This window comes from Homo sapiens, chromosome 12 (assembly GCF_000001405.40).
Source record: "Homo sapiens chromosome 12, GRCh38.p14 Primary Assembly".
Classification (NCBI taxonomy): domain Eukaryota; kingdom Metazoa; phylum Chordata; class Mammalia; order Primates; family Hominidae; genus Homo; species Homo sapiens.
In genome coordinates, this window is record NC_000012.12 from 82,968,344 (window position 1) to 82,992,033 (window position 23,690).

Below are 23,690 nucleotides of genomic sequence, written 5' to 3' on the forward strand. Positions count from 1 at the left end.
ATCTGTCTATATGAATAAAATATACATGTCCATAAAGCATGCGCTTAGGATATGTAGATTTATGAGTTGAATTAACTTTTTTATTTTAATGGTAGATGTTTTTGTGTCAAAATAAATGCTGAAAGAGTTGCTTTCTCTAGCTTTGGTTTAACTTATTATTTTATTCTTAATTCTAGTGCTTCCAAGGCCTTATTCCCAGTTTTCCTCACTTATCAAATAAGACATTTTTCTTCAAATTAGGATAGGTGTCTAAGATTCTTGGCAACAGACTGCATGTAGTATTTTGTTGTTGTTGTTAATGGAAAGTGGTGATGATGTTCACTAGAGTTAGCTATTTCAGAAATTCATTCAATTATTTTATGTGAATAAATTTGAAAATTCAGCCAGTACCTTGGGATCTGTCTCTCATATGGTTACACAGATGCTCAGCTCACACAGGCAGCAAAAGATAAGTGTGTCCCTGGGGGTTATTGCTTAATCTTTTGTCTCATTTTCCATTAGAGAAGGAGATGGTTGCTTTGTCCAGACTCTGAAAAGCACCCTAACAATTTTTAAAGGGAGGGTCTTAATATTTAACATTCCAGATTTTTTCTACGATTATGGTGGCTGCCTTCTATTTAATTTTATGTGAAGGTCTGCTAGCCAATCAAGTTTTATAGTTTCAGTTATTCGGGAAACTATAATTTTCTCAGAGAGTGAATTCACCTCCTAATCAAAATGGGTTAAATACCCCAAGTGTTGGCTCTAGCTCCTAATACATTTTGATTAGCCTCCATTTGACAAGAAAAAAAATGACCCAGGAGATAAGCTGCCCTATCAGTTCATCAGTTTCATTAGTCTGTCAGCGTGTGCTGATTATCCTATCAAGTTTATCAACAGCCTTGAATGTGTTTTCTAATTCACACATTTACATATTATTAGTGCCCTTTAGGGATCAGTGAAGGATTATAATGTCTGGCTAGATTTAGCCTGTAAGTGTTCATTTTTCTCATGTGTCATTTACCCCTTCACAACCACTACCCCCAAGCACTTGTGTATAGATATACAAGCATTATATTTTTTCCCATTCTATTTTTTTCTTTTGTTTAGAGGTTAGGAGAAATAAAGGAGTGTGCGTGAAAAAATACAATTATATTTTAATGTGATTATTAGTGTAGTACTAAATTCACTGCAGTTGCTTTTGTTAAAAAACACTCTAGTCCTTTGATTTTAATCTCCCCTTGAACATTTTATGAAAAACATGCTATATACCTTATGCCACATGCCAATCGACTTATCCTGAATGCCAAGTGAATGTGTTTTTCCTGTTTCTGTATTAATAGAAAATAACAAGTTTGATTAATTCCCCAACTTAAATTTTCCATATTTTAAAACTATTCATTTATTTTATTATGGCAGCTTATAAGTAGTTTTTTTAAATGTTTAAAAGCCTATTCTCATTTATCCTCTTCAATTTCATAGGACCAAGATGTTTGAGTAACAATAATTGAGGACACCTTCCCATCCTGAATTAGGTGAATTACAAACATACATAAAAAACATAAACAGATAATAAATAGTATTTTATAAACAAAAGCTAAAATTTTACTTAGGTGCATATAATTAGGAAGATATGAGAATACATGAAATATTAAGAGAACAAATCACAAAATATGTGTTAAATTGCTCCTAGCCAGTTGTGTGACTTAATTCTGTGGACCTCATTTCCACTTGAGAAAACAGGTTAGATTAAATTGAGATTCACCATAAGGTAGTCCCTGAAGTCAGATACCCTCGGTTCAAATTATGGCTTTGATACTTTCTCCCTGAGCATCCTTGGGCAAATTACTTAAAAGAAGCCTCAGTTTCCCTTTTATAAGATTTTGGTAATAGTAGTATCAGTGTGAGGATTGATTAAAGTGATAAAAAAGGTAAAACATATTGGTCCAACTACTTAACCTAGTAAGTGTTTTATAACGGGACTTTCCATTGTAATTATCATCATTTCCTTAGGCTTTTTGAGACGGAGTCTCGCTCTGTCGCCCAGGCGGGACTGCGGACTGCAGTGGCGCAATCTCGCCTCACTGCAAGCTCCGCTTCCCGGGTTCACGCCATTCTCCTGCCTCAGCCTCCCGAGTAGCTGGGACTACAGGCGCCCGCCACCGCGCCCGGCTAATTTTTTTTGTATTTTTAGTAGAGACGGGGTTTCACCTTGTTAGCCAGGATGGTCTCGATCTCCTGACCTCATGATCCACCCGCCTCGGCCTCCCAAAGTGCTGGCATTACAGGCGTGAGCCACCGCGCCCGGCCTCCTTAGGCTTTTAAACTCCAAAAGTTGATTGTATTCTCTGTCACTGTTTTTGTATTTAGCAATGTGGATATGACTACTTCATAGACAAGATTTTTGTCATCATTATGGCCTTGGTAGTCACCACAGTTCAGTGGAGATTCTGTTTAGTTCTATCCTATTTGGAATTACTGTATTTTCTCTCCAGGCTCACTTCCCTTTTTCTCTCAGTAACTGCAGTCAAAATCCTTCTCTTACCATTAGCTATATTAACCTAACTTGGTTTCATTAATAGAGTGCTTCCTCCAAATTAAGATTGTCCTATGTAGGTTAGAGTTTTTTTCTTTTTCTGTCATGATTTATTTTTCATCTAGACCTAACCAAAATTATTCTGTATTCTATTGCTCAGAGGCATTTATTGGATCTCAGTTTCTCTTCTTCTGAAGTTACAGATGTATTTTAGAATCATAGAATGTTAAAGATGGAAGACTCATATCTTAAAAACCCTTATAAAATAATCTCTTTAATAAGATAAAAATTAGCACTCCCCCAAATCTTACAAAGTTCAGATTTACAGTTTGTATTAGAACCAGGAGTATAGTTTCTTGACTTGAATCCAAATGCTTTTTCTGCTTAGTCCTTCTGTGTTACCTAAACTATCATATTTTTTACTATGTCAAAATAGTTTTCCTTTGCACTTAAAAATTAGCAAAAATTAAATATATAAAAACCTCTACAGTTTTACTATAAAGAATGAAACAGCTGCAAAGTACATTGAATATACTGGATACTTAAAATTTTTTTAATGCAGGATGATTTCTGAACACTCTGAGTTTCTCTTTTCTTTTTTTATAATTGTTTCTTACTCCTATTATCTCTACTTAAGCATTGCTTTTGAATAATCCTAAGGGATTATAGGAAACTAAATTAGGCTGCAGTGTCCAATTATTTTTATCTGTTTGAGCTCTTCCAATCCCAGAGGTCGTTTTACGCCTATTTACTATTTAAAATAAAATGACTTGGCTTTCTCAATGCAGAGTAATTGTTGGGTTTAATTATACAAGCAATTTACATCATTTCATCATGGTAATATATCTCGAGAACAAAAGGGCATAATGTATTATACGGAGTAAGAGAGAGCCTAGGGTAACTGTCTTGTCATTTCAGTCTATAATAACTGTTTAGAATAACCTCTGTATGCAAAAAAAAAAAAAATTAAGTCATAAGTGCTGGGACAGCACAGAGGCAGCAGACATATGAAATGTAAATAGTTAATCTAGTTCCTTCTCTCAAAGAACTTTCTGGGAGATTTCACAGTTGGTCCAGAGCTCTTTAGGGCCTCTCTGTAATAATTAAATGCCTATAAATAAAATGGAATACTATTACTCTAACCTTGAAAATATTTTGTCTGTAGCTATATAGGCTATGCTATGCTGACTAGACCAAAGAAAACAAACAAGAGAAACTCAACCTTTTTAATTTCTTATGTGATACTTAAGAAATACATATTCATAATTTCCTGTTCTCTGAAAAGTGTGTTTATGATGAGCAATATGCATTTATCTTAGGGAGAGATTCTTTTTTCCAGGAGAAATGTGTGATAATGGCCCATTGCTTTTTATTATCTTATTTGCCTTTATTTTCATCATACTGTTCTGATTCTCTTATGATAATCTCTTGTTTTATATATCCCTTTTAGTTTTCAGTCCCAGCTCAATATTGGAAAATGTATTTTCCTCCATCATCCTTCATCTAATAAACCTTTTACTTACACAGATTTGAAATTGAAAAAATGTTTTTTCCCATATCTTCAATAAAGAGGAACATTTTGATTTAATTTGTAATTCTTTACAGTAGCTCTTTAATTATGAGATATTTTCCCAAGTTTATTGGGCTGTTCACAGAGAACGAGGGAGAAAAACAATGAATAGGAAACAAAAATGAATTTATTAGAGCAATTTTTTGTATAAAAAGCTTGTGTGAATTTTAGAATTGTATTTTTGAGAAAGAAACTTGTGGTATGGAAGAGTTAAGTGTCATAAATAGCTACAAGTGATGTTTAGTTTTTTAAACTATTATTTAGGTGAGAAGAACTGACAAATCACCTTCTGAAAACAATGCAAATGTTCTCGCTCGTAAATTCAAATTCTACTTTAGGTCTGTACATTATGTTGTGAGTTCAGTCAGCAGAAGGAGCATAAAGGAAGTCTGTTTCTTTCTCAGCCTTCTGTGTGGCTTGTGTTTAACTGAATCATTTATTTTTGTTGGATTCTTCTGTGTGTGTATGTGCATGTGTGTTTACCTCACCTTGTTTCGGAATATATTTAAAGTGGGGATATTCAGAGTAAATTTTTGACATGATGGTTTATATGCTTAATGTTTTCTCCTGTGTTTAGTTGTTCTTAAGTGGATTGCTCAAGGCATTTAGCATGCTGACTGTGAAAGAGATGGTTTTTAACTGTATGAGATTTGAACTTTCACATCTTTCAAGTGTGGAAGCATTAACACTCCAGTAGCGTTAAGCTTTTTATACCACCTGCTTCCCCTATTTTGAGTTCTGGCGATTTTCCTATGATTGCTTCCATTGGCACTCTTGAAAATCAATGAGGCAATCCTACGAATATGAATATGACCATATAACTGGATTAGTCATTAATCTATGAAATCCAAAAAGAATATGAACCTCTAATTTTTAAGATAAGTCTCTTTATTTCATTTCGTTTTTCCATTATCAGAAAGGATACAACCAGGAGACCAATGCCTGGTATATAGAGTTCGCCAGTCCAGAAAGGCAAAATATAGACTTGAGAAATTTTAGAAGTATACTTTGAAGATTATGTAGTCAATAAGATAAGGAAATCATGAATGTTTGGCTATGTATCAAAAATAATGAATATATGAAATTTATGAGCAAAAAACTATAATTTTTTCTCCTAAAAGTTTCTCTTAAAAAAGTGCAGTTTTTAAAATATATTTTTCTACATTTTACACCGTATATAAACTCTACATTATGTACTATGGTTACAGACGCTAATTTGCTAGGCATTAGTCTATACACTACAAAGGCTAGCATCCAGTTCAGCTGCATTAAGTAGGTAATATATTTTGTTTAAAGTTTCAATTAAACCCAGGGCCAGAAGATATATAGCCCCTACGGGGAGTCTGAACACTTTAATGCCTATAGTAGGATTGCCTAAGGATCATGTGTAGGTCTAAATGTCACTTGCTTTCCTGGAAATAGGATATGAGACAGTTGATTATATTTCATTGCTATTAAAACCACAAGAGCCCACCTGTTACATTAATTCATCCTCCTGCCAGATTTGTGGTAAAGAAAAAGATCAAAGCTTAAAAACTTTATATTTAAATTGAATTATAAGGGTACAAATATACTCAAATTAATACCTAATTATATCTTCCTTATTCTCTGATTCCCAAATAGTTTCAATGTGTTCTGTTCAAAAAAATCTGTTTTAAGGCTGGGCACAGTGGCTCATGCCTGTAATCCCAGCACCATGGGAGGCTGAGGTGAGAGGATTGCTTGAGCCCAGGAGTTCGAGACCAGCCTGGTCAACATGGAGAGACTCCATCTCTACATACCCACGCCCGTGGACACACACAACTGTTTTCTGAGACTTTAATATAAATAAATGAAAAAAAAGTATGTATTGTAATCTTTAATTGGGACAATACATGTGGAGTAAAACTTTTACTCAGTAGCAAATACAGGTTGGATTTTATTTAGAAAATTGTGATTTTATGTTACACCTGGAAAATTCATTAATTGGATTTAAAAATCTTAACATTCTAAATGATGCTGACAATGACATCAGTTAGATGAAATAGACATAGTCATGTGGAAGAAGATAATTTTGTGTGAAGGATACAATCTTGAAAATCAGTGTCAAGGAAATGAGAAGATATTCTTACACATATTTAGAATAGGCAACTGTAGGGGTAGAAAGATGTGATACCTATCCTCAGTCATCATAAGGGTCATGGCCAAGACTCCTATAACAAGACAGGTTAACTTGACAAAAGCATAATGAATTTATTTAATGAAAGTTTTACCTGACAGAGGAGGCTTTGGAAATGAAGGTGAAAGACCTAGAGAAAATCATCTATTTCATGCATAGGTTTGATGAAGCATGGACAGCCTTGTAGAAATGTGATTGGACAAAAGGGTACGATCTAGTGTAATCCACTGAGTGGCGAACCCCAGCAAGACCTGTCTGTTCAGATTCTTTTCGGCCTCTCTTTGTAGCATTCCTTCCCTCAAGGTATGGTGCAGCACCCCTTTGGAAAGAGGATCTTCAAGGGAGACGGGAGAGAGAGAGAGTGACCTTTCTAGATTTTATGCCCTGCTGTGGGAGAGAAGAGTTCTAATTTCTGTGATTCACTTAGGGAAGAGTATCTATCTATGACTTGTTTCAGGGAAGACAGAGAGGTGGGAGACAGGAGAACAGGAGGAGTTCAGAAAGGCTTTGTTTCCATGATACTAGAAGGCTTTGTCGGCCTAATATCTTTTAGTTCAAAGCATTTAGCATGCCAAAGTGCCATATTTTGGGGTATTGTGTTCAGAGCCTTAACGCATGAAATATAAATTAAGTTGAAAATTCAGTGCATTACTAATTGTATGTATTTTGCTGTGTACTCAAGTCTGATTTTCCCAGTAAGTAAGGGAAAATTGTTTTCTACATAAAAATCTCATTTAACTCTTCCAATGAGCTGTCATTTAGTTTTAATTTTATCTACACTGATAGAAGCCATCACCATATTCACTTGATCTTAGCCAAAAGGCTGAGAAGCAATAACTGTTGCCATATTCAAATTAAACAAAGAATGAAAATAGAACATGCAGAGTTTTGTTCCGGATTGCATTATTTTTGCCAACATGTTAATTATGGGAACGGGATTTTTGTGGATTATTATAGAATCTTATTCTCAAGTATTCATTAAAAGTTGGATGAATTTTTCAATGTGTGCTATGCCTTAGTAATTAACATTAATATAGCAATTTATAATATAAATAAATTATTCATTGCCTATTATGGAGATATAGTGCTTGACTCAGGAGTACACATGAAATGTATTCCTAAAAGGATCTGTGTGGAGTTGAAAAGGCTTCCATTACACTCTTTTGACTCATAGGAGAGTGCTTTTTCTTTTATCGTTTTCCTGCAGCTATACAACTCCTGTTTCTCTGAATACTATTTTCATTTGTTCTTTCCAGGCTAGTACAGTATTCATGCATTCTTTTTTCCTTTCTCTGGTATAAACTTTTTTTTAAAAAAAAAATAATGCTATTTAGCACTTCTTTGCATGTTTTTAGTGTTTACTAATTATCTCAGTTTTATTAAGCCATTTTATTGACTCCATTTTAATTTTCCTGAAGACAGTATTATATTTTTGGGGAAAAGATCCTCACCTGTCCCCAACATACTCGTGAATATGCACACACACCACACTCACACGTGCACATGCACACACACAATCTCACTCTATACTTTTTGAAAATTCTGAGCATTTAATAGAATTGGCTTTGACATTTGTGGATTGATTATTTTAGTGATTTATTTCCTTGAAAATATAAAGGAAATTGATTAGCCCGGAGAACTTCAGGATCCCTAGTTGTAAATAGAGAAATATTTACACAGGCTTCTGGCTTTTTTTCAAGTTGAAGTTTGATGGAACATCAGATGTTTCTGGTATATGACCTTATATTAGAAATTAGGAACTTGTAAAAGTTTCACTGAAGTTGAACCTACTTCTTAACAATTGATGTTATTCCTTAATGAAACACATATTTTTTTCCATGTCTTTCCTGTGTTTGCTTCAAAACTACACTTTCAGACTTCAAGAGTTTCCCCTTAAGTTTAATGCTATAGGACTTGAAGAGTTGTATATTGAATCTTTTCCTAACTTTTCTCAAATTAAGACTTGGATAATATTACATTTTACTTTCAATACTACTGTACTGTAGCCGCTAAAGGATTTCCAATCAGAAGCAATATATCTGGGGCAACTAGAGGGTGTTATTTTTATAAGAATAAGATGACAAAAATATTGGGATGGAGATACAAAAGATTCACAAAATTTGACTGCTAAAAGTTACACCAGGTTTGTAGCATAAATGTATTTTTAAAAGGGAGACTCGCTAATGTTTCTAGTAGTGTTTCTAATGCTTCTCAACACTGTGAAGTAAAAAATGATCATCGGACTGCAGGTTCTAGAAAAAAAGAATTATCTGGAAATTTCTCTTCAAGGGCATACTTCGTAAAAAAATGTAACATCTAAATTCAAGTAGATACATAATGTGATCAGGTATTTGTCAGCTATTTATCGAGTACTCTCTGGAGCCAAAGCTTTCTGGACTTAGGTTGAAGACAGAAAAATATATAAAAGATTGTGTGTCTGCTTCCATGCATCTCATAGTCTGGTTTTGTAGCAGAAAGATTATAATTGCTTACCTAGCTAGGTTCCGTAAGTACATAAAAAGTGGGAGAGGGAGTTTGAATAAATCAAGAATTGAATACTATTCTCGAATGGGGAAACTCAATTTTGTAAAAATTCTCTTTTTCTCAAATTTATTTATAGATTTTAATTTAATAGCAATAAACATTCTGAAAAGAATTTTATCAAAAACTTGACAAAATGATTCTAAAACAGTGAAATATAGCCAAGAAAGTCTTAATGAATAATAAAGTTTAAGACTTGTTTGTTCTACTAGATACTCAAATATTAGATGAAGTGATTAGAGTGATATTGTACCCATGAGAAAAGAAAACCAGACCAATAGGACAAAGTGGAGACCCTGGAAATAATAACAAATTATTTAAGGTTGTTGTAGATAATAAATGTAAAATTAAATATTGGTCAGGGAAGGAAATTTGTATAATAGTTGATCTAGACAATTGAGTAAATCTTTGGGAAAGAATAACATCAGATACTTGTCTCATACCACATAGCAAAGTATATTTCATGTGGAATACATAGTTCATTTTAATAATGAAACTATATAATTAGAAAATGATACATATCTCCATGATATAGAAAATGTTTTGTGTATAAAAGATACTTTAATAATATTTTGTATAAAAGATAGTCCAAGAATTCTCCTTCTATACATTTATTTTGAGGTTATAATAAGAGTTGTGTTTTAAAAAGATAATTAAAAAATACAATGATAATTGCAGAAGTGCAGTACTTACATAAAATGTTGGGAGGGGAATTTGAATAGACAACAAACTGAATACTGATTTCGAATGAGAAAACTGAATTTTGGGAAAATTGGCATAGTTTTATTTAAAATAACAAAACACTGGAAGGAACCTAGATGCTTAAAACTAGCAAAATATTTTACTATATAATTGATTTTTTTCAATATGTAATTCAAATTCTTGGAGAAAACATAAAAATTTGCCAGTGGCTATCTATGGGTGATATAATTCTTTCAGTCTTATAAAATTATGATCTTTCAGACTTTCTTCAATGAACAGGTATAATGTTTATAATTAGAAAACAGAGTTATAACTATTAAATGGAATAACCAAGACTTGATCTAGATGCAGCCAATCTTGAATAGATCAACTAAAAATTAAGAATGAGGCAGGATATTTTAAACTAGGATATTTTTACCTCTTTATGAAATGAATGTATATAAATATCTGAGCACTGGTGAACCTACAAATGATTATCCATTTTGGAGATTATGGAGTTATTTATTCTTAGCCCTTCATGTTGTAAATGATAAAACTGAGGACCTTTAAAATCACTCATTTTTCTAAAACATACAGCTATTAATGGCAAAATAAGAATTCAAAACCAATCCATCTAAAATACTATTTTGGTATATATGTTTAATTTCCGTGTGTGTGTGTGTAGTTTTCAAAATTTCTCTCGTTATTGATTTCTAGTTTTATTCCATTGTGATCAGAGAATATACTTGATATAATTTAAGGTTTTTTTAGTTTTTCTAAGACTGCTTTGTGGCATAATATGTGGTCTATTCTTGAAAATGATCCATGTGCTGCGGTGAAAAATGTGTATTCTGCAGCCATTGCAAGAAATGTTCTGTAAATATCTATTAGATCCATTTGCTCTATAGTGCCAATTAAGTCGTCTTTCTTTGTTGACTTTCTATTTGGATGATCTGCCCGATGCAGAAAATTAGGTTTGAAGCCTTCAGCTATTATTGTATTGGGGTCTATCTCTCTAGCCCTAATAATACTTGGTTTATATATCTGGGTTCTCCAGAGTTGGGTGCGTATATATTTACAATTGTTATATCCTCTTGCTGAATTGACACATGTGTGGTTATATAATGACCCTCCTTGTCTCTTTTTATAGTTTCTGTCTTGAAATCTGTTTTGTCTGGTGTAAGTATAGCTACTTCTGCTTTTTTTTGCTTTCCATTTGTGTGGAATATCTTTTTCCATCCCTTTATTTTCAGTCTATGTGTGTCTTTATAGGTAAAGTGTGTTTCTTGTATGCAACAGATTGTTAGGTCTTTTTTTTCTTTTTATTTAGCCACTCAATGTTTTTATTGGAGAATTTAGTCCATTTATATTCAATATTATAATTTATAAATAATGACTTACTCTTGACATTTTGTTGTTTGCTGGTCATTTTGTGGTCTTCTTTCTTTACTTCCTTCCTGTCTTTTAGTGAAGGTGATTTTCTCTGGTTGTATGTTTTAATTTCTTGCTTTTTATTTTTTGTACATCTTTTATATGATTTTAGTTTAAGGTTATAATGAAGCTTGCAAATAATATTTCATAACCCATTATTTTAAACTGATGACAACTTATCACTGAGAGAAAAAGATTAATAAACAAGAAAATAGAAAATGAATAACTCTACACTTTAAATTTCACCCTCCTGCTTTTTAACTTTTAATTCTTTCTGTTTATTTCTTATACTGTGCATGTCTCGAATAGTTGTTGTAGTTATTTGTTTTGATTGGTTCATTTTTCAATCTTTCAACTCAAGATATGAGTAATTATGTACCACCTAATTATGTACCACAATTGCAATTTTATAATATTCTGTGTTTTTCTCCATACTTACTACTACCAGTGAGTTTTGTACTTTCAAATGATTTCTTATTGCTTATAAAGGTCATTTTCTTTCAGATTGAAGGACTCCCTTTAGCATTTCTTGTAGGACAAGTCTGGTATTGATTAAATCTCTCAGCTTTTGTCTGGGACAGTCTATTTCTCCTTCATGTTTGAAGGATATTTTCACTGGATCCACTATTCTAGGATACAAATTTGTTTGTTTGTTTTCCTTCAGCACTTTGAATATGTCATGCCCTCCCTGCCTCCACTGAAAAGTCTGCTGCCTCACATATTAGAGCTCCATTGTATGTTATTTGTTTATTTTCTCTTGCTGCTTTATCTTTGACCTTTGGGAATTTGATTATGACATGTCTTGAGGTAGTCTTATTTGAGTTAAATCTTCTTGATGTTCTATAACCGTCTTGTTATTTTGGTATGTAATTCGTAACTCGGTGCTGGGTCATAATTATGAATAATTTCAATAGGTAGATAAACCAAATTCATCAATCAATTAATTAAAGTGAATTTATTTTAAAATTATGTTGCCAAATTAGTTCCTAAGGAACAAATTAAAAGTAACCTATAAAAGGGAACTTATCATAGCAAACCTTAAAATTGCTAAAAGTGCTCATTAAAAGAAAAATGACCAGCACATAAAATAAATTCATTATAAAAATCACCAAAAATAAACCTGATATCTTAGAAGGAAAATAAGCATTACTTAAAAATGGAATGAATACCTTAGCAACCAGCTAAGTTCTCAAACTCCATGGAGAGACTAGAAATTAGGTAGATTAAGATAAAAATGCCTGCTTTTCCAGCAAAGCATCCTAAAATTAGCAGTACTGGCAATGAGATGCTTTCAGTGTATTAGGGGCTGGAAGCCTGCAAGAAATCAGTTGGGACCATTTTGTAAGTGTCCCTGTTCTTTAGAGACTAGAAAAAAAAAATTATAATTTGTGTGAGTCCTTTAGAAAAATAGGCTTTTCCCCCCATGAGCTTGTCTGGCAGCTTTTTAATAAAGAAAGTTCTAAAACGTGTATAATTTTTTGAGTTATAGCTTGGCATATGCAATTTGTTGTCCGCATGTCAGTCACGTACGCATCACTCTATCTGTGTCATAATTTTGCCCATAGCCACTTACTATCTGAGGTGTCACTCACTTAATATTTTTCTTCATTCTGAAGCACGATGTCTATGTTACTACATTTTTAACACAGATTAAATCAAATTCATACATACCCCACATTTTTCAAAAGGTTTTTGTTGTTTTTGTTTCATTTGCACCTACAAGCAAACTTTGGGGAACACTGATAAATTATTTCTTTGTCGCTAGATTGTAAGTAGGAACAAATGATAATCTACTTAACCTTTATGTATACCATCATATGCATTGTTCGTGTTGGTTAACCTGGATTGATGTGCAAGATATATGTTCAAGAGTTTTTTAAGAAGGCATTTAACAATTACTGTAGGAGTTGAGGAAGGGATAATTACTTTTGTCTTCTTTTCTTAACAGTGGTCACATAGGTTTCTTTAAAAATTAGGAAATCTATACTGTCTTAATAATAATTCCCACTAAATGCTCTATTCTTTATCTGCAAGCAGGAGCTGTCCAGTAATTTGAAACATAAGAGTCAGTGAGATGTAGACTATTACATCATCAACAACCCAACATTCTTTCCTTAAGGAGTTAGCCTTTGCCTGGGTTATTTAGACCTGGGGCTTTTTAGGGAGAGAGAGTGACATTATTTGTTCTACATCTGAAACTGGTTTATGTCTGCCTGAAGCCAGCCTGGAGACATCCAAATTCCTTTTGTCTGTGAGTGAAATGGAAATAAATCTGGGTGATGAACCTGATCATTCTATCATCGCACAGCAAATCTTCTCATTCTTATGAAAGTACCTTTATTATGTCATTTCTTACAGAATGAGAAAGGAAAATAGTCATCGTTGTTTCTTTCCTCCTGGGCACCATAAACGTTTTTTTCTATTATTGTAAGTTAAGAAAAATTACGGTACCAGAGAATATGACTTAACCTTTATCTCCTGTCCTATTCCCGACCAAGTGTCTTCGTTTCCTTCCTTATTGAATTTATTGAACTTTCTTTTCCTGTGGCCATTTCCTTTATGGAATTTTTATGATTTCAGCACTTTAACCAAGCTTGTAGAATCCCATATATACCACTCTGTCCTAAAACTAAATGCACTGATGGTACTTTTTCCAGTTATTAAATGTTTTATTCCCTCTCTGAAGACTTTTGATAGTATTTGTGTAGAATGGTATAGTGGAAAGAGCCAGAGAAAACTCTAATCTGAATCCTGAATTTGACATTTGCTTTTTTTTTTTTTTAAATCTTGAGTGAGTTTGTTAAGCTCTCTGAAGCATAGTCAGTTCATTTTGTAAAATGAGACTGATAATAACAGTGTAGGGATAATGTAAAGGTAGAAAATATTATATTTAAGATGTTAGTAGGTACTCAGTAAATAATAAATTTTATATGGCAGGCAGCTTGATGCGATGGGAAGCCATTTAATCATTTTTGGATAGGATTATTAACTGTCCTTGTGCAAGTCACCAATCATTCCTGAGCCTTTGTCTTCATTCATAAAATGGGTATTCCACCCTCTATCAAGGATTGGAAATGAGAAATGTAAAGCTCTTAACCTTGCCAGTGTCAGGAATGTAGCAAGTACTTGTTCTTATAGTGTTTGTTGCTTAAATCTTTATTGAGTTACCTTTTTTTAACATATTTAATTTATCCATAATCTTTTTTTTTTTTTGCATTTTAGGTTTTGCATCTTGATTTTATTACCATTTATATACACCCTTTTTGTGTTAAGTTAGCCTTAGAACTAAAGTACATATTCTAGACTTAGAACTAAAGTGTTACATATTTCCCTCTTAAGAATTGAATTACATATGCGTAGAAAGCAGTTTTAAAGGTCAGTCATAGATTACCATTGCTCTTCCTTATTCTCTTAATTCAATAGATAAGCCCAAGGCAAAGTGAAATGAATGGGCTGGCTGATGGATCACAAGCTAGAAAATGATTTTCTATGAGTGAGAAACAGAGAGCATAATTCTCACCTGAGCTGGGGATTTGGAAAGTTTATGACTATTTTCTATTAGCTAGTGAAGGCAATCAATGAGTTAAGGTCAGGTAGCCCTGAGTTTAAATTGCAGTTTTACCATGTTACATATTCATGATTTTTGAGTGTATAATTTAGCCACACTGCTTCTCAATTTTTTCCATCTTTAAAATCCAAATAGTGACATTCCTTGGTAAGCAATGAGATACGTTTATAAAGCAACTATTATAGAAATTGAAAAACTGTTTCATCTTGCAAACCTACTTTGATCAATTGGTAGTGGTTGAATGGGGCAATGTGTTAAGGCCACTTAGGGAGGCTGAGAAAAATTTCTACATGCCCAAATGTGTGGAGTAAGAGGAGTGGGTGAACATAAGTCAGACATTTGTCACCTGTAACTTGTTACTGTAATCCATAGTAAACACTCAATTATTATTATCATAGTCATCATTGTTATTATTAAGACACAATGAATGGTTACATGAAGTTCTTCAAAGTTGTAATAAGTGGTACCAGAGTAGTCTATTTATCAGTTTTCATATACTTGCCAAGATGCATGATATATTACATTACTCATTTATAGCCCTTTAATATTTTCTTATCTCAAAGCTTTACAAATTATTAAGTTGCTTAGAAGTTCTTACTGAAAAAAATGGACCAGTCATTAATTATTGAGCAAATTAATAGTATTTAAAATAGATTTTAATAATGATAACTTTCTGACTTGGAAAAAAAAGCAAGTATACTTTCTGAAATAAATTTTAAATATTAACAAAATAATGAAGATTTGTATTTCAGAAGTGCTCAGGAATTGGGCTTATCTTCACACTCTTTTTCTGTACAGAAGACCTAGTGTTATTCTAAAAATCAATTAAATTTTTATATGAAAAGTAGAAGCTATATTAAATACAATGGTTGTACAACTTTTTTAAACTGGCCTATAAGCACTTGAAGATCCAAAGTGAATTTCAGTTTGATTTTGTATGGGACCTGTAATTTAGGCCCATATTCCATCTGGCTTTATAATCCGTTTAAGAGATAAATATGTGGATATGTTTTCTCATTAATTGCTTTACATTGTTCAGTATTTTAGGGCTTGTGTATCTTTTCTGTTATATAAATTATATATAGTGTTTTAATATGAAGTGATTCACTTTTCCTAGTACAAATTATTATTTCCTTTATTTGAAACATTTGTTAGTTCAATGTGGCAAGAAAAAATCCATCTGACAGCATGTTAGTTTTTATAGAGATATGAAAATAAAAACAAAATTATTATAGAAATTTATGGAAATTAAAAAAACAATTTCTAATCTATCATTTTAACAACTACAAGCATTTTTGTGTATTTTATTCCAGTCTTTCATCTTTGCTTCAGTATTTCTTTTGTCTTTCCTTAGACATATAATTTAATTTCACCAACTTCTTAAGTGCAGATATGTTTTAAACTTTGAGGGAAAAAAATCAAACATTTTTCAACTATCATTTTTATGATAATATAGTTTAAGGAGTGTTCATCGAACTAGAAACACATAGATATGTGTGAGTGGGTAAAAATGTGTATTTTTATGCATACTATGTATTATTTGTCACCAATATTTTTCACTATCCAGCAAAGCAAAGGGCATTCAAAAGATCAAGAGACTCAAACCAATTCACTTCATCAAACATATTCGTATTTACAATGCCATAGTAATACAAGTTGAATATGATTAAAACAAAAAGGAATGAGTTCTTCCTTTGAAGCAAAAACTATACATCCAATGTGGGCAATTCATTTACAAAAAGCCTCTGATTACGCCTCTAAAAGAAAAAGCTGTCATGATTATGATTACTTATGCTTATATATAAAGGTCTGTCTGGAAGATAATGCAAGTCACCAGTTTACTGCTTGGTCTCAGAAACTGAATAGTGTCTCTACATTTGCAGTGCTTAGTAAAACTACAATATTTAACTTAAATATATAAATTATCTTAAATACAATTGTTGCATCAGTTGAATATTTTGTTCACCATATAATCACATAAGGGAAAGGGGAATGATAATTCATAGGCAGCTGGTATACTTTTGGCTTTATTTCCAACTTTTTTATCCTGCTCTGCTGTTAGTGAAATGCTGTTTGGTAGCTAAAATATATATTATTAGAGTAATGACTCGTGGCCAAAATGCCTCACACTCATGTTGTATGTAGTGCTGGGCATGCTTAATAATTGTCATCTGTTTATTGGATTTTCCAAATGAAACTGGTAAAATTTATTTAGTTAATTTTATTAATCATAATTTTAATTATTTAATTAAAATAATTTTTTTTGTTTGAGACAGGGTGTCACTCTTTCACCCAGGCTTGAGTGCAGTCGTGCGATCAGGGCTCACCGTAGCCTTGATCTCCCCGGCTCAGGTGATCCTCCTGCCTCAGTCTCCTGAGTAGCTGAGTCTACACCTGCATGACACCACACCCACCTAATTTTTTTTCAGAGATGGAGTTTCACCATGTTGCCCAGGCTGGTCTCTAATTCCTAGACTCAAGCTATCCGCCTGCCTTGGCCTCCCTAAGTGCTGGGATTACAGGCATGAGCCCCCTATCCTGGCCTTAATTTACTTGTTAACATATAAAATTCAAATAGTTTCTTTAAAGAAATTAGCAGCAGTGTTTAATCTAAATATATTTTTAACTCTTTCAATTACTCTTTCTCAAAAAGGTAAGTCATTTGTGGATAGGATCTCACACTTTTTTCTTATAGTTCCTTTATAAGGCTTTCCACTTGGTTATTCTATAAATACTTGAATTTCTAAAGGAATAAATGAATATGAATAAAAAAGAACAAAAGAATAAAGAACAAACATAGCTCTCAAAAAGGAAAAGAAATGATGATAAAGGACATATGTCTGGGAATCAGATGTTCTATGTTAAAAATCAAAGCTTTACTACTTATTAAATTTTTTACTTGAGCCATTTTACTTCATTTTCCAAACACATGATTTTTCATCTGTAAAATGGGAATCATGATGACTTCTTTGGGAATCAGATGAGAACATGAATGAAAGTACTTCCCACAGCATCTGAAATTCCACGCAGTATGATGATGATGATGATGATGCTGTTGCAAATAATGTGGAAAAGCTGTATCCTCCCTTTGACCTTCATGATTAATTCTCTTTCCAGGTGAAGCATATATGCGTTTAAGCAAACTCCCCGAAGCAGAGCATTGGTATATGGAATCACTGAGATCCAAGACTGACCACATCCCTGCTCATCTCACCTATGGGAAGCTGCTAGCTCTAACAGTGAGTAACCGCCTTCCTTGGTCTTTAAAACTTGGTTTTCTCCATGCAGACCGGGATAGATGGGTTTGAGGTACTGTTTTACAGCCAGTTATCTAAGCTATTAGGGATGCAATGGTGGTGATACTAACTTTGAACCCTGTACAGAAAATATAGAAAAATGTGTTACTTTGCCTATGAGGTTTGGTCTAGATAAGATGTGAGATGTCTGTATCTTACATCTTGATCTAGATAATATGTGAGATGTCTGTATCTTACATCTTGGTCTAGATAAGATGTGAGATGTCCGTATCATCCCTGTATCAAAACATCTCCTGTATCCCATAAATATATGCACCTATAGAAAATGTTTAAAAGAATTAAAAAATTAAAAAAACAAAACAAACAGATGTGAGATGCCATGATCGTTGATGTAACTTTGAAAAATATAAATGGAGAATCCCAAATATGGAATTACATAATGAATTTGTTCTAATAATCATATTTGCATAAATATTATGTTCTACAAACCAGTGTTAGCCCCAAATTGGCTATACTTAGAACTAAATCTGATTCTTATAAATAGCCAACATTGTATAAAATTCTGTGTGCTGAAATTCCTTCTAATTAAAATCATTCTGTAAGAGAAGGGAGGCTATCTGATGGCCTCTTACTATGTGACAAGCACCCTTGGAGGCCACCATTTCACGAAAGTGACATGAGTATGGAGCATAAAAAATTACTAGTATTGTACCACTATGACCTATAAAAATGGTAATTTCATATATTTCAAAGTAATAGTAATGTCTTTATTTTACACAATAGTGAATAGTTTAAAAGTTTAAGTTTTCTGAGCTCACATAGACAATAGGTGATAGAACTAGGCTTCAATCTTAGTCTGAATCAAATATCTGTATTATTTTAGTTATAGTACCTAATCTCTCTTCAATATTAATAAAAATAAATGAATATTAGAAAAACATAGAGCAAATGATCAGGAAGGTGATTCCTAAGTGAATTCATTGAAAAGTATTTTTGTGTTACTTCAAAAATAATAACATTTTACTTTCCACAGAAGATGGTAGATAACACTTATAATTGTCAAATATCCATTCTAAAATACCACTAAAATACTCTTCAAGAAATCATGTAACGCTTTAGGGGGCCGAGGCAGGCAGATCACCTGAGGTCAGGAGTTCAAGACCAGCCTGGCCAACACGGCGAAACTCCGTCTCTACTAAAAATACAAAAATTAGCCAAGGGTGGTAATGCGTCCCTGTTATCCCAGCTACTCAGGTGGCTGAGGCAGGAAAATCGCTTGAACCCAGAAGGCCAAGGTTGCGGTGAGCCGAGATCATGCTACTACACTCCAGCCTGGGCAACAGAGACTCCATCTCAAAAAAAAAAAAAAAAGAGAAAAAAAAAAAAGAAATCATATAGGTAGACTAAGTAACCAGAAAACATCCCACTAAAAATATTTAGATCTACTTAATAAAATATAACAGATATGTTTTTAACACTAAACTGAGCATGAGTAGTAAGAGAAGTTCCTAGGAGCTAGAAATGAAGTGGTAACTGAATACCAGAGCAGTGAACAGCAGGCAGGTCCTGCAGCTCATCTGGGATTATTTACTGATTGTGGAAACCAGTGAGAAGGTGGTTTTTGTTTGTTTGTTTTCATTATTTCTAGAATAGGAAACAACGCTTTGGGCCAATGGAAGAGCAGGAATTAAATGCCTAAATAAGGCAGGGAAATTCTTACCTGCCTTGAAAGGACAACATAAGTTTGTCCACAAGTATAAGAAGGCAGCGTGAATATTTGCCTATCTCAGAATGGGATCTGGATGGGGAGTGAACAAAGTATCTGCTGGGAATTTGTTGCTCCTGTCCTTTCTTTACCAAGCTTTGGGTTTTGAATTTACCTACATGACCCTGGAATTCCGAAGCCAATAAATTAAATAAAATTTAGTCTACTAAAAACTTTTGCTGAAGAAGTTACTGGAGATGTTCTTCAAGAGAACACAAATCTAGAAGGAATGCTGGAGTGAGGTGCATAAAAGTACTGGGCAAAGAAATTGGTGATGATGTGGGCAAATCAGACTAAGCTTTTAATGAATAAAATATTAAGGGAATACTATACAGGAACAATAGGAATGGGAAGAGAGATTTCAGTGGATAAGAGATACAGCTGATTTTTGCAACTCAGAAAGCAGTTGGAAGTATTATAACTGACTTGCCTGGGAGAAGGAAATGAAAATCTAAATAAACTTTGGAATGGGATAACAATGAAAAGAAATCTGGCTTACATCAAAGAAACCTGGAGAGGCTCAAGACATGGAGGCAGCTGACACAGAAAAGAGTCAGTTAAGGGACATAAAATGGGGTAGTAAATTGCAGCCAATGAATGGAGTATTCAGGTCTCTCCCCTTTGCCCACAAATGCCAGCAACTAGGCACCTGCCTTCAAGGCAAGGGAAAGGGGCCCTTAAGAGGTAGAACAAGTAAATAAAGAGAAGTTCAAGATTCAAGAACAGCTTGCACAGTTGAAGGCAGAATGAGGAGGGGAGTGAAAAGAGGACTGATTGAGGGTCTTCCCATGGAGTACTCAGATCCTTAATACCCCTCCCCTATCCCATGCAGAATACCAGCAACACAGAGTTTACCCCCTTTCCTCCAGCCCACCCTTTTTGCTTACACCTTACCTCTCAAATTGTTGAATTCTGATCCAGGGAAACTAAATCACAGTAAGGAAAAGGTTTTCAAATACCTACATTTAGAGGTCCCCTGTAAATGACTGGCTCCCAAACCAGACAGAGCACAGTGAATCTATTCCATCTAGAATGCCTGTCTGTGCCTTAGGAATTCGATTCAGCTTTTATTAATTAACTCATTCTTAAACATCAATGGGTAACCAAGGATCATCAGTCATATCAGGAAAGACACAAATTAAAAAGACTGGAACTAAAACAAATTATTAGGAGAAGGAACTCTAAATCAGAAGACATCTTTAAAAGAATAATAATCCTTAGAAAGAGACAGAAACATACAGCATTTTATGAAGCAGGATGTCAAGAAAAAAAGAAACCAAAAAAAGCAAGAAAGAGCTTATAGAATTTAAAGGTATGATAGCAACATGATTTTCATTTGGAAGATAGGAGAATAAAGGTAATGAAATCATCTTATATGCAAACAAAAAATGAGGACATAAAAGAATGTAAAAGAGGGAATTATGAAAGAAATCAATATGGGGTCCAAATGGCAGAGAAAGAACAAAGGAAGGGAAAGAACAATAACTAAGAATTGAAGATTACCATCTCTGTTTCTGCTATTTACAGATACTTCTAGTTTAATCACCTGGGAAAAGTTGTTTTACCCTAAGAAAACCTTTTCCCATTTCTGTACTGATGATTCTGTGTGATGTGTGGTGATTCACACAACTCCACATAAGTATTAAATTAATATACCTAAGCTAGATTGATAAATGGCCACCTTTAAAAAAAAATCTAAAAGTTTCAGATGTCTAATTCATTGCCCACCTGCACCCCCCCCAAAAAAAAGTTAGAAAAGAAAAAAAAATTAAACTTAAATTTCCATGATTCTGTATATGCTTAGACCATGGCACTCGATATAGAAACCATGTGACCTTTCTAAAAAAATTTTTCAAGCCTGACTACTTAGGCTTCCTGTACCAAAAATATGATTTTAAAGGCTGTTTTATTCTTTTCAGGAGGCTTTTTTTTTTTTCAGATTTAGAAGTTTTAATTTACCAAACCATATGGAAGGAAAGGAAAGACTCCTATACTACAATCCAAATTTTTAATCCCCCCCACCAAGACTTTTATAGTTTCCGACTTGCTGATTAGATGAAATACAAACCCTATTATGGAATGGCTTAAACTCACAGTGCCAAAACCCCACAACCATCTTTAACAGCTTCTTTCTAAATTATGACATTTGGCAAATTTCTGATCCCTATGGATAGCTTTTGTCTAATTTGGGGTTTCTTGGCCTGGTAACAGCCCACTGGCTTAACATAGAATTTGCAAAGGTAGAAAATACCACACATTTTGACTTCTGAATGCTTTAAATATATTATAAAATGGAATTGGCTGCTAGTTTCAAGAGAAGAGGAATAGAAATTGAGTGGTGTTTTCACTCTTTAATCAAAACTGGCCGAAGGGAAAATATGTAAAAATGAAATGCAACTATATTAGACTTAGACTGGAGAGTAGGATTTTATATAAGACTTATATGTTTACAAGATATATTAGAAAAATATTGATTATTAGTACTTTTATTACAGTCAGTGGAATGATTCACTCAGTACTTTTTTTAAAGTTTGTCTTTAAGAATTTGTGTAATATTTACAGAATTTAGAAAAGTTCAAACGGATTTAAGGTTTCCCAGAATGCTTTGGCACATTTTATAGATCAAATCCTCTTTTATTTTTCTGCCAAAAATGTCCTTTTCCTCTCTTTGCCTGTTCAGATTTTATTTCTTCCGTGAAGTCTTGCCTGACTTTCTTAAGCAGTTCCTTTTTTGTTTTTTCTCTATACTTCATTAGTACCGGTCTCAGTATCTTCATAGTAGGACACTTCCAAATAGAATGACACATACATATGTGTCTGTTTTTTGACACTAGATATGGGGCAGGGGGTGAGTCTTTACTTTTTATTTCTTCAGTACCTGCCATTTCAATGTATTAGTTACTATCCCTGTACCCATGTGCCTTTTCCTTTATAAGTTATTTAAGGGCTGGGGACATGGCTTTTAAATGTTTTTGTTCCCTCCCTCCCCTCCAGTACTCATTCCCTCATTAATCCCTTCATTTGGTCAACACATATATTGAGACTTATTTCTTCAAGCTAGGTATTGCTTTAATCCTCAGTGATCTGTGCTGAAAAAAAATGAATGAGGGTGGCATGATTATAGAGTGAACACACAGTAATCTTCCAAAATCCTAGATGGGGAGATGGGCACAAGAGGGGCGTGCATCTCTTCAGTGCCTGTGCTTGACATGTGATATTTAATAGAAGCTTGATAACAACCCTTAGGGAGTATTATCCCCTTTTTATAAATGAAGAATCTGAGCTTCAAAGGTTTGAGGAACATCCTCAAAAGTCATTTCACTACTAAACAGTAGAATTGAATATAACTTCAAGGTTTTCTGAACTGCCATTAATTTTCTGTCCACATTAAATAATTTTAAGTGTGGAGTTTTTTTTTCCCATTTGGTGTATGTGATTAAACTGATTGGAGATTGGAAAAATAACTTGACTACCTTGTTACTTAGTAAGTTACAAGTTATTTAGTTACTCAATAACTACTTATTCCCCCATCCTCTTTTTATAACTTATTTTTAGAAACTATCTTTGGATACTAGTTTAATTTGAGTGGTTAAACAGAATTTTATTATTAGGCATGATAGGTCATGAACATAAGACTTCAGTTTTAGGCTACTGACAATTTTATATCCTACATTATACTTCTAATACAAAAATTTCGGGGTATCCTGGGGAATAGTTTTGTATTAGAGTCATTGTAGCCTCCATGTTTAAATATAGTTGGACCCAAGTGACATCTCTTTAAAATATATGGAAATTTCATACCAATGTCATGTCCAATTAAAATACTAAACACAAGATGAGTTTGAATTGCTCTGCTTAAAATTGTGATTTATTCCTTGTTTGAACTTTGTTACCTAGGGCAAGTGCCATGAATTTAAAATTGGGCATGCTAAAAGAGAGAAAAGAAGGAATAACATTTCCATTAATATGGTATTTCAGATGGTTTTATAGCTGTTTCTAAAGTTGTGTGGGTTCTGTAGTTGTGTGCGCATGCTTACTTCGTTTCTTTTTGTCCTTTTTATTTAAGCCAAATATTTTTCAGTTTTGTGAGCCAATAAAATTAATATTGACTTAAATTGTAGTAAAAGTTACTTGGCTGTTAGCTTATTTTCCAGATTCAGGTTAGTAGGAGAGAAGGAAGGATATTGGAGACTCTGACAGTAAT

At 33.4% G+C, this 23,690-nt stretch overlaps 1 protein-coding gene across 5 annotated transcripts in view; it reads left to right on the top strand.

The window, feature by feature from the left end:
* Positions 1–23,690, top strand: part of TMTC2 (transmembrane O-mannosyltransferase targeting cadherins 2) — a 447,961-nt gene that overhangs the window by 281,438 nt on the left and 142,833 nt on the right. For all 5 annotated transcript variants that reach the window (XM_017018884.3, NM_152588.3, NM_001320321.2 and 2 more), the window contains one exon: positions 17,582–17,703. In XM_017018884.3, coding sequence (XP_016874373.1) covers positions 17,582–17,703 — 122 coding nt within the window. The remainder of the gene's footprint in view (positions 1–17,581; positions 17,704–23,690) is intronic.